We start from the raw sequence: 12,006 nt of genomic DNA on the forward strand, positions 1-12,006 counted from the left end.
ATTTCTCCCCTGGATTCAAAATTTATTCTAGCACAAGTTTCACCTTTATTATCAACAATTACAATGCGTACTCTGTACCACAAGCACAAAGCACTGTTACAGCAGTCAATGAGAGATATCCCTAAGAATTAATAAAAAGCATCCCAAGCCCTAAATGCAAAAATCTTCCAGTATATCTAATTATGAGACATTTCTTGTCATGTGTATATAAAGTACTTATTGTGGACATTAAACTGGAGAAGGCAGTATAAGCACAGAAAAAGAATACAGGCTCTAGAGCAGGAAGACCTGTCTCAAACCACATCTGCCACTTTTTAGCCACTGACCTTGGACAAGTTATCTACCTAGAGACTGTCTCCTCAACCGTAAAATGGGGATAAGAAAATTCGCCATTGATAGTAAGAACCAAATGAGACAATTTCCTTCAAGTGACCAACACAACACCTCATAGAAAGTATCAGTAAAATGATAGCTTTTTTCTTAATCCTAAAATAAGTGTGTTTTTAAACAATTGTTTTAAAGTAACAGCTGTAAGAAACAGAGTTAACAAAAAGATGACAATACAATTATTACAGGTAACTAAAGATAAAATCTCAACTTTCTAAATACCCAAATTCATTCATTCAACAAACATTTACCACACACCTGAGTTTGGCATTGTGCTAGGCACTAGAGACACAGTGACAAGACAAACACAATCCCTAATCTTATGATGTGTATAATCTTGGGTTTATCATGATGATGAGTATTCAGAATGAGAAACAGGGAGTTCTAGATGGGAGTCAGGGACATCAACTAGGCACAGGAATTGTAATGGGAAAAAGGAGAGGGGGTCAGGGAGGACTTTCCAGAAGAGGTAAGGTTTAGATCTGAAATACAAGTAAGAATCAGATAGGAACAGTGTGGACAGCAAGAGCCAAGAAAAAGAATGGAAATTTTGAGGACTGAAATGAGACCAGAATGGAAGAAACAGAGATGGAAAGGGAAGATGGATGCAGGCAGAGCTAGAGAAACTGACAATGCCATAATCACACAGTATAATAAGGACGGTATTAAACTTTTTAGACCTTATCCTAAAAGCAACATGAAGCCATAGAATGATTTTTCAATCAGAGGAGTGACATCATGATCACTATGGCTATATTGTGGATGAAGAATTGGAGAAAACCAAGGGTCGATGTGGGGAAACAGAGGGCTGGAGTAGTTGGTCAGGACACAGTGTAGTAAGAAAAGATAGCCTTGGATGTGATGGCATATATGAAAACGGTTCCTCAACTAATACTACTCTATTCAGTTAACCTCAACTTTTCTCAGACTTTTTTTTGTGAAAATAATCATAACACACTTTTCAGACTTTTCCGTGAAAATAAATGAATCATACCAGAAGCCATTTTTTACACATGGGAATAAAAAAGTCTTAATTTTTTCAAACTGACTAAGTATTTCAAACTCTGCTATTAGGAATATAACACTGCACTTGAAGCAGAAAATATCATGAGCTCATAGACTGCATTTCAGAATAGACACATTAAATTATTAAATAAAAAATAAGCTTTATAAGGACATCAGCTGTCACTTACTGATCATTTGCTATGTGCTAGGTCATGTACTTTACATGCTTTTTTTTTAAGAGATGAGGTCTTGCCCTGTCACTCAGACTAGAGAGCAGTGGCACGATCATAGCTCACTGCAGCCTCAAACTCCTGGGCTCAGGAGAATCCTCCTGCCTGTAATCCACCTGTAAATAGCTGGGATTACAGGTGCACCTCCCAGCTATGTTTGCATTCTTATTTAACTTTCACCCCAATCCTAAAAAATAGGCACTATTTATTATTATTACTATTATTTAAAGATAATAAACTATGGCCAGGCGGGGTGGCTCATGCCTGTAATCCCAGAACTTTGGGGAGGCCAAGGAGGGCAGATCACTTGAGGTCAGGAGTTTGAGTCCAGCCTGGCCAACATGGTGAATCTCCACCTCTACTAAAAATACAAAAATTAGCTGGGTGTGGTGGCACATGCCTGTAGTCCCAGCTACTCGGGAAGGTGAAGCACAAGAATTGCTTGAACCTGGGAGGCGAAGGCTGCAGTGAGCCAAGATCGCACCATTGCACTCCAGCCAGGGTGACAGAGTGAGACTCTGTCTCAAAAAATACAATAAATAAATAAATAAATAAATAAATATAATAAACTATATTCTGGGCTGGGTGCCGTGGCTCCTGCTATAGTCCCAGCACTTTGAGAGGCTGAGGTGGGAGAATCACCTGAGCCCAGGAGTTCAAGACCAGCTAGGCAACACCTAGGCAACACAGTGAGACCCCATCTCTACAAAAAATTTTAAAAATTAGCCAGGCATGCATAAAAAGGAACAAAATAATGGCACTGGCAGCAACCTGGATGGAACTAGAGACTATTATTCTAAGAGAAGTAACTCAGGAACAGAAAATCAAACATCGTATGTTCTCACTTACAAGTAGGAGCTAAGCTAGGAGGGTGCAAAGGCGTAAGAACGATACAGCGGACTTTGGGAACTCAGGGGAAAGAGTGGGAGGCGAGTGAGAGATAAAAGACTACACATTGGGTACAGTGTACACTGCTTGGGTGATGGGTGCACCAAAATCTCAGAAATCACCACTGAAGAACTTATTCATGTAACTAAACACCACCTGTTCCCCAAAAACTTATTGAAATTAAAACTAAATTTAAAAAAAAATTAGCCAGACATGGTGGGATGCTCCTGTAGTCTCAGCTACTGGGAAGGCTGAAGCGAGAGAATCACTTGAGTCCAGGAGGCTGAGGCTGCAATGAGCCGTTATAGTGCCACTGCACCCCAGCCTGGGTGACAGGGTGAGACCTTGTCTTGAAAAAAACAAAACAAACAGAAAACAACAACAACAACAAAACTATATTCTGGGTCATAAAACAAGTCTTAATAAATTTAAAAACATTCAAGCCATAAAAAATATGTTCTCTAAATTGAGATTAAATTAGAAACCAATAACCAAAAATCTCTAGAGAATTTAAAAATATTTGGAAACTAAATAACACATTTCTAAATAACCCAGGATCAAAGAATAAATCAGGAGGTAAAATAGTATTTTGAACTACATGAAAATGAAAACATAGTATGTCAAAATCTGTGGGATGACACTAAAACAGTACTCAGTGGCAATTTATAGCATTAAACTCCCATATTAGAAAGGAAAAAAGGTCTCAAACCATGGCCTCAGCTTCCACTTTAAGTAGAAAGAAAAGAGGAAATTAAGCCCAAAGTAAGTAAGAAAAAAAAATAAAGATCAGAGCAGAAATAGATGAAATAGGAAACATAAAAACAGAAAGAAAAATTAATAAAACCAAAAGCTGGTTCTCTGAGAAGATCGATAAGATAAACCTCTAGTCAGACTAATCAGGAAAAAAAGAAAAGACGTAAGTTACCAATATCAAAAATGAGAAAAGTTATACCACTACATTCAACATACTAAAAGAATAATAAGGGAATAGTATAAACAACCTTTTGCCAATGAATTTGACAACTTAGATGAAACGGACTAATTCCGTGAAAGACAAGCTACCAAACCTCACTTAAGAAAAAACTGGCTGGGCACGGTGGCTCACGCCTGTAATCCCAGCACTCCGGGAGGCCAAGGCAGGCGGATCACCTGAGGTCAGTAGTTTGAGACCAGCCTGGCCAATACGGTGAAACCCGTCCCTACTAAAACTACAAAAATGAGCCAGGCATGGTGGCGTGTGCCTGTAATCCCAGCTACCCAGGTGGCTGAGGCGAGAGAATCGCTGGAACCCGGGGAAGCAGAGGAGACAGTGAGCCGAGATCGCGCCACTGCACTCCAGCCTGGGCAACAGAGCAAGACTCTGTCTCAAAAAAAGAAAAAAAAAAAAAGAAAAAATAGATAACCTGGCCGGGCACGGTAGCTCATGTCTGTAATCCCAGTGCTTTGCAAGGCTGAGGTGGGAGGACTGGTTGAGTCCAGGAGTTCAAGACCAGCTTAGAAAACATAGTGAGACCCTTATCTCTACCAAAAAAAAATTAAAATTAGCTGGGCATGGTGCGGTGGCACACACATATAGTCCCACCTACTCAGGGGGCTGAAGTGGGAGGATCGCTTGAGCCCGGGAGGTAGACGCTAAGTGAGCCATGATCACACCACTGCACTCCAGCCTGGTCGACAGAGTGAGACCCTGTTTCAAGAAAAAAATAATAATAATAGAAAAAATTAGCCAGGCGTGGTAGCACACACCTGTAGCCTCAGCTACTGGGGAGGCTGAGGTGGGAGGATTGCTTAAGGCCAGGAAGTCGAGGCTGCAGTGAGCTGTGATTGTGCCACTGTACTCCAGCCTGGGTAACAGAGTGAGACCCTGATTTAAAGAGAAAAAGAAAAAATACATAATCTGAATAGTCTTATGTCTATTAAAGAAATTGAATCAATAGTTGAAAACCTTCCCACAAAGAAAACTTCAAGCCCAGATGGCTTCACTGATGAATTCTACCAAACATTTAAGAAATAATACCAATTCTAGACAAATTCTTCTAGAAAACTGAAAAGAAGGGGATACTTTCTAACCCATTCTATGAAACTAGCATTATCACAATACCCAAACCAGAAAAATGCATTAGAAGAAAACTATATACTTACATCCCTCATGAACATGGATGCCAAAATTTTTTTAATTTAGCAAATAAATCTAACAATATATGAACAGAATAATGCATCATGACCAAGTGGCAAAGCTAGTTTCACATTCAAAAATCAATCAATGTAATTGACCATATTAACAAACCTTAAAAAAAAAGATTATTTCAATAGGTGCAGAAAAAAAATTACATTTGACAAAATCCAATATACAATCCAAAAACTCTCAGCGAACTAAGAATAGAAGGGAACTTCCTCAAACCTACAAAGGATATCTGTTAAAATTTACAGACATCATCATACTGGTGAAAGAATGAATGCATTTTCCCTAAGATCAGGAACAAGACCAAAATGTCCACTCTCACCACTTCTAATTTACTGGAGGTTCTAGCCTCCAGGTGCTATCAGGTAACAAAAATAAATTAAAGGAGATTGGAAAGGACAAAGTAAAAACTGTCTTTACTTGCAAACAACATTTTTTTTTTTTTTTGAGACAGAGTCTTGCCCTGTCACCCAGGCTGGAGTGCAATGGCACGATCTTGGTTCACTGCAACCTCCGCCTCCGAGGTTCAGGCGATTCTCCTGCCCCAGCCTCCCGAGTAGCTGGGATTACAGGCACGTGCCACCATGCCTGGCTAATTTTTTTATTTTTAGTAGAGACAGGGTTTCACCATGTTGGTCAGGCTAGTCTCGAACTCCCGACCTCGTGATCTGCCTGCCTCGGCCTCCAATGTGCTGGGATTACAGGCGTGAGCCACTGTGCCTGGCCAACATATTCTTACAAGTAGAAAATCCTACAAAATTTACAAAAAACCCAAAACATAAAAAAACTACTAGAATTAATAAGTTTAGCAAAGTTTCAGGATACAAGGTCAATATACAAAAATCAACTGTGGGTACTAAGAGGGCAGTCATCAAAAAGACAGTAACAAGTGCTGGCAAAGATGTGAAGAAATCAGAAACCTCACACATTGCTGATGGGAATATAAAATGGTGTAGCTACTGTAGAAAAGTTTGGCAGCTCCTCAAAACATTAAACAAAGTTACCATGTGACCTAGTAATTCCACTCTTAGGTATATACCCAAGAGAAACTAAACATATGTTCACACAAAAATCTGTAAAAGAATGTTCAAAGTAACATTATCTGTAATAGCTAAAAAGTAGAAACAACAAATGTTCACCAACTAATAAATGGATAAACAAAATATGATATATCTATACAATATTATTCAGACATAAAAAATAATGAATTGCTGGCCTAGTGCAATGGCTCACGCCTGTAATCTCAGCACTTTGGGAGGCCGAGGCGGGTGGATCACAAGATCAGGAGTTCAAAACCAGCCTGGCCAATATGGTGAAACCCCGTCTCTACTAAAAATACAAAAATCAGCCAGGTGCAGTGGCTCACGCCTGTAATCCCAGCACTTTCAGAGGCTGAGACAGGCGGATCACAAGGTCAGGAGATCAAGACCATCCTGGCTAACACGGTGAAACCCCGTCTCTACTAAAAACACAAAAAATTAGCTGGGTGTGTTGGCGGGCGCCTGTAGTCCCAGCTACTCAGGAGGCTGAGGCAGGAGAATCGCTTGAACCCAGGAGGCAGAAGTTGCAGTGAGCCAAGATCACGCCACTGCAATCCAGCCTGGGCGACAGAGCAAGACTCCGTCTCCAAAAAAAAAAAAAAAGTAATGAATTGCTGATATATGTTTATATGTTACAATAGGGATGAAGCTTGAAAACACTGTAAGTGAAAGAAGTTATTCACAAAAGGCCACATAGCATATAATTCCATTTATAGAAAATGTCCAGAATAGGCAAACTCATAGAATAGATATAGACAGTAAATTAGTAGTTGCTGGGTTGGGGGAAGGGAGGTGGTAATGGATTGGGAGTGACTGACTGCTAATGGATACAGGGTTTCTTTTTGGAGTGATAGAAATGTTCTGGAAACAGACAGCGGTGACAGCTGTACGACATTGTAAATGTACCTATGAACTATAAAGTGTAAAATGGTTAAAATCATAAATTTGATATTTGAATTTTATCACAAAAGCTACCTAAAGAAATCAATTTCATCTCTATATATTAGTAACACACAATCCAAAATTGAAATTATGAAAGCAATCCTATTCACAATAGCATCAAAAAAATACTTAGGAATAAATTAATCAAAACAAGTGCAATACTTGTACACTAAAAGCTACAAAATACAGATGAGAGAAATTAAGATATAAATAAATGGAGAGAAGCTGGACATGGTAGCTGACATGGGAAATCCCAGGGCTTTGAAAGGCCTCAGTAGGAGATTGCTTGAGCCTAGGAGTTCAAGACCTGACTGAGCAACACAGCAAGACCCAGTCTTTACAAAAACAAAAAAATGAGCCAGGTGTGGTGGCGCACAGCTGTAGTTCTCATTACTCAGGAGGCAGAAGTGAGAGGATAGCTTCAGCCCAGGTTCAAGGCTGCAGTAAGCTATGACTGCACCACTGCACTCCAGCCTGGGCAACAGAGCAAGACCCTGTCCATAATTCATTAATGTTTCAACGTTTTAAATGAAGAGAAGTATCATGTTCATGGACTGAAGACTCAATATTGTCAGAATGACAATTCAACACAATCCCTATGAAAATCCTAGCAGGATAAACTTCAAAAACATTATTTGATGTGAAAGAAAACAGATAAAAAAGGTGACATATTATATGACATCATTTATATGACATTTCAAGAAAAGGCAAAATTATAGTGACAGAAAGCAGATCAATAGTTGCTTGGGGGTGGGTCTGCAAATGGGCATAAAGGAAATTTTGAGGATGACAAGGGTGTTCTAAAGCTGGATTGTGATGATGGTTTCACAACTGTATATATTTACTACACTCATCAAACTGCACAGCTGCAATATGTGAATTTATGGCACAGTAATTATGTCTCAATAAGGGAGTTTTTTAAAAAGTAAAGATTCACTTACCATTGTAGCCTTCAAGTACAGAATCAATAATAGGTCTTGCAGTTAAGTTATAAACATCAAGTTGTTTACTCTCTGGTCCAAAAACAGTATCAAAAGTAAATGTCTTTGGAGGTTCATTGGAAGAATCAGTCTTATGTACAGTGATAGTTCCCCTCATCTCATCCACACTGACAGCCTGTTTGTAGCACATTGATTTCTCTCTCTCATTGAGGGGCCGGCACCTAACAACAACCTTCACATTATCGCAGCTTTCTGGCTTCTCTGATTTATTGATCTGTTGGAGATAATATTTACAAATAATGAAAAGAACATTAATTTTTACCCTCATCAGATTAAATTTATAAACTTTAAAAGGCTACTTTTCCAACTCAGTGCCTTGCACACATTAAACACTTCACAGGTATTTGTTAAATGCAATTAAAGATCTTACATATAGCTGAAAAGTTTATTAAAAGATACAAAAAGGAAAATCGTTTCTTTTAAAATGTAAAAGGGAGAGAAGAGCTAGTTCACATTTGTGGCAAAGGCTGTACAAGCAGAAACTGAACCAGTATATTATAGATCATCTTTTTGCACAAAAGTCTCTGACCCAGCGTTTCCTGCCTGTAGGAAAACACATGTGAACATGGTTAACAACTTTAACTCAAGAAAATAGTAGGTCCTTTGTTTCCCCTGAGACTTTAGTTTTATTTCCTATCACGCATCTGTAAAATGGTTTTTATCATGTAATATATCCATATATGGCTTATCTTCTCTACAGAAAACAATAATAAGATAAAGACAGAAATGAAAGTCTAATGGCAAAGAAAAATGCCTTAGTATTACCTAACCTTATAAGCATTTGTATATGTAAAGTTTCCATTTCTGAATTTTTTTTTTCTTATTTATGAGGCACAGTCTCACCCTGTCACCCAGGCTGGAGTGCAGTGGCGTGATCTCAGCTCACTGCAACCTCTGCCTCCCAGGCTCAAGCGATTCTGCTGCCTCAGCCTCCCCAGCAGCTAGGATTACAGGCGTCCATCACCATGCCCAGCTAATTTTTGTATTTTTAGTAGAGACGGAATTTCATCATGTTGGCCAGGCTGGTCTCGAACTCCTGACCGCAAGTGATCCACCCACCTCGGCCTCCCAAAGTGCTGAGATTACAGGCATGTGCCACCGCACCCCGTCATTTCTGAAATTTTATGATTAAGAAAATATAATGAAACACAATCCTATTATTGAAGTGAAAAGGACAGTTTAGTTGAACAGATACTTGTTAAATTCCTACTGTTTCAGATTCTCTTCTAAGCATTGAAGAGAAACAAATATGAGTCATTGTCATTGACTCTGACATTGTCACTGACAAGTAACAGATTATATCAGTACAATACACTTCTATCTATCTCTCATCCTATTCCTCTCATCTATTCATCACCCTAGTCTAAATCACCATCATCTTGGCCCTGGATTACTGCCTCCTAACTATACTCCTGAATCTAATCAGATTGCCCTACTGCCTATTCTCCAAATAGCAGTCAGTGTCAACACACATCTAATCATGTCACTCTCCTACTTAAAAATTCTTCAGTGGTTTCCCATAGATCTCAGAACAAAAACCAGAATCCTTAAGGTGGTCTGTAAGGTCTGGCTTCCACCCACGTCTGCTTCACTGGGCTTATTTCACAAGATATTCTGCCTGGCTCATCCATGCCACAGCCACACTGAGCTGCTTGGCCTTTTCTTGTCACCATGCTCCTCACCACTGGCCTTTCCATGTGCTGTTCCTTCTACCTAGAACCATCTTCAATCCCCTCTTCACTTAGTTAACATCTACTTATCCTTCAGAACTCAACAGCCACTTCACCTGGGAAGACTTCCTGACTAGGTCAAATACTCTTATAGGCTCAGAGAGCACCCTGCTCTCCCCTTCCTGGACACAAATTTTACTTTTGCTTGTTCCTTATTTGATTAATGTCTTTCTGTCTACACCAGAGGTTGCAAACAGGTAGTCAAGAGGCTGAATTCAGCCCACAAATTTCTTTTGTTTGGTTCATAGTATTTAAAGAGCTTTTGAATTAGTTGCTAAAATTGAGAAATTTCACAAAAATAATTTCTAAAGTCTCTTCTTGGGAGGAAAAAAAATGACCTGTTATCATCTGCAGACCATCATTCTTACATGGCAATACATTCCAATTCACCAGAATCTACTTCTCTCTATTGTAGGATACCCACCCACTTCATTATTAAGGTTTTGTGTCTTACGTCTGTAAATATGTATGATTTTCACCTCTGCCCAAGAAGGCAAGCCTCTCTCTTTCCAAGTTCAAGAACCTGACTGGTGTTGCTCAATGTTGTATCTTCAGGGCCTAGCATGTGGTTGGTGCCCAATATTTACTGAATTAAAACTTGAAAGCAGTGAACAGAACAAATATAGAGCATTTAATCTTAAATGTCAAGCACTGTCCTTCTAGTCTCCTGTGTATTATTTCACGCGGATAACAACCCCATGAGGTAAAGTTTACATGGGAACTAAGGACCCAGACAGATTAAATAATTATCCGAGGCCTCACAACCACTAAATAAGCGGCCATGGCTCAATTTTCCTCCATGACCCCTAATAAGGGGTCTTAGAAGGCCCCATTATTAAGTTCACGATAACAATCTGTGAAATCCTGGAAGATAAACATAACACCGCCACACACACAAAGACACCTACGGGTTTCATTCTGCATCATAAGCTAAAGCGCCACAAGAGCAATGACAGCTCAAGGCTAGGAGACTCGGAGTATGGGGCCTGGAATAGGGGCAGGCAGCCTTCGCTCCGCTGCCTCCCTGCGCTTGCTCCGAGGCGCAAAGGCCTCACCAGGTGTGCAGCATCCAAAGAGCCCCACCGTGGCCACCCCCAGACGCCCCGCTCAGCAGGAAGGGCTGCGAGCCAGAGCGCATCCTCCAGCACAGCGCCTTTTTGATAAGCGGCGCAGGCCCCACGGGATGCAGCAGCGACGAGGGCGGCAGGGCCTGACCCCAGGTCCCTGTCGAGGCCGGCCGGACCCCCGCGGCCCCGGGGCTGACCAGCCAGGCTCTCCAACCACCTCCACCGCACGACCGAGCCTGCCCCGCCCCACCCAGGCCGCCTGCCGGCTCCGCGCCTCCATGGCAACGGCCGCGCCCCCGGGCCAGGCCGCTAGGATGAGAAGAAACCCCAGAAGCGAAGCGACTCTCCTCACCGGCATCTTGGCCCCCTCCCGTGCCCGGCGGACGTCCCCGCCCGGGGTGCAGCCCAGCGACACCGGGTGCGCAGAAAGGATGGCCAGAGACTACCGAAACACCTCGTTGACGCTCTCGAGACTGCGGCTTCTCGGGCGAGAGCGCCCAGTGCGCAGCCGCATTCCGAGCTCGCCCCGCCCCAAGCCCAGTCTCAGGCTCTCTCGGCCCTTGAATTACGCCTGCGCGGAGGCTTTCCGAGTCCATCTCCTAGGACGCCAGACTGAGGCCGCGCGTGCGCAATGCTGCCATTCTGCTGCGCTAGAAATGTGGCACGCACTGAGGCGGAGGTAACCTGGCAGCCCGGGGTTGGGAGGAGGAGCTGCTCTTAGGCCCGTCTTCTGGCCCTTGCAATACCCGGAATATTAAAATCAGTAATAGCAATTGTACATTTTGTCTCATCCGAAGAATTGAAGACCTTACCTACCTGACCTCGCTTGATTGCTAACTTCCTCATGACCTGTCTTACCATTAGAAAGTGAGCTCTCTTAAGGAGATTGTTAGTATTCTCACATCTATCTCCAGAGCCCACACAGAGCCTGGCACAGAGTGGGATTTTTATACGTGTTGGTCAAAGAACCAGTGATCCGTCCATCCTCTTTCTAGTCCACTTGAATGTGTAATGGGCATTTCAAGTTAATCATGTCCAGAATTGAAATCTTGATCCCCCATCAATCGCCCCACTACCCACTCCACCCCCATCAAAAAATTTAAAAGGGCTCTCTCTCATCCCTCTCAGACTTTCTTCATCTCAATATGTGGGAGCTTAATTCCGACAACTGCTCAGGTCAAAATTGCAGTCTCTTTCATACACAATATTCTATCTTTAAATACAGCCTGTTGTATCTATCTTTGTAGTGGAACCAGAATTTGGCCACTTCTACCACCACCATCGTCTCTCACGTGCATTACTACAATCGCTCAGAACTGGTTTCCTTGATTGTGTGTCCTTGTCCCTTTTCAGTGTGCTGGACAGGAGCCAGAGTGCTGGTGCTAAAACATGAATCAGATCTTCTCTTTTCTCTGCTCAAAACCCTCCATTGATTTCCCATCTTACAAAGCTAAAGCCACAAGCCCTACAATCCTCCCTCTTGCTTCTTCTGCACCAGCCCCACCTGGCCTCCTTGCTTCATCCAACATTCCCG

At 41.8% G+C, this 12,006-nt stretch overlaps 1 protein-coding gene across 5 annotated transcripts in view, besides 2 other annotated features; it reads right to left on the reverse strand.

The window, feature by feature from the left end:
• Nucleotides 1-10,957, reverse strand: part of KIF3A (kinesin family member 3A) — a 48,735-nt gene extending 37,778 nt beyond the window's left edge. For all 5 annotated transcript variants that reach the window (XM_017008996.3, XM_006714526.5, NM_007054.7 and 2 more), the window contains exons 1-2: nucleotides 10,825-10,957; nucleotides 7,616-7,889 (exon numbers count right to left, since the gene is read on the reverse strand). In XM_017008996.3, the coding sequence (XP_016864485.1) occupies nucleotides 7,616-7,889; nucleotides 10,825-10,830 (280 nt within the window). In that variant the 5' untranslated portion in view covers nucleotides 10,831-10,957. The remainder of the gene's footprint in view (nucleotides 1-7,615; nucleotides 7,890-10,824) is intronic.
• Nucleotides 10,262-10,361: an enhancer, noted in NCBI's record as "active region_23094". NCBI's record gives its function as "activates an Ori minimal core promoter by ATAC-STARR-seq in GM12878 lymphoblastoid cells {active_cell/tissue: GM12878}" and the evidence as "EXISTENCE:reporter gene assay evidence [ECO:0000049][PMID:35858748]".
• Nucleotides 10,512-10,821: a silencer, noted in NCBI's record as "silent region_16332". NCBI's record gives its function as "represses an Ori minimal core promoter by ATAC-STARR-seq in GM12878 lymphoblastoid cells {active_cell/tissue: GM12878}" and the evidence as "EXISTENCE:reporter gene assay evidence [ECO:0000049][PMID:35858748]".
• Nucleotides 10,958-12,006: the final 1,049 nt, after the last annotated feature.

Source organism: Homo sapiens, chromosome 5, assembly GCF_000001405.40.
Source record: "Homo sapiens chromosome 5, GRCh38.p14 Primary Assembly".
Classification (NCBI taxonomy): Eukaryota; Metazoa; Chordata; class Mammalia; order Primates; family Hominidae; genus Homo; species Homo sapiens.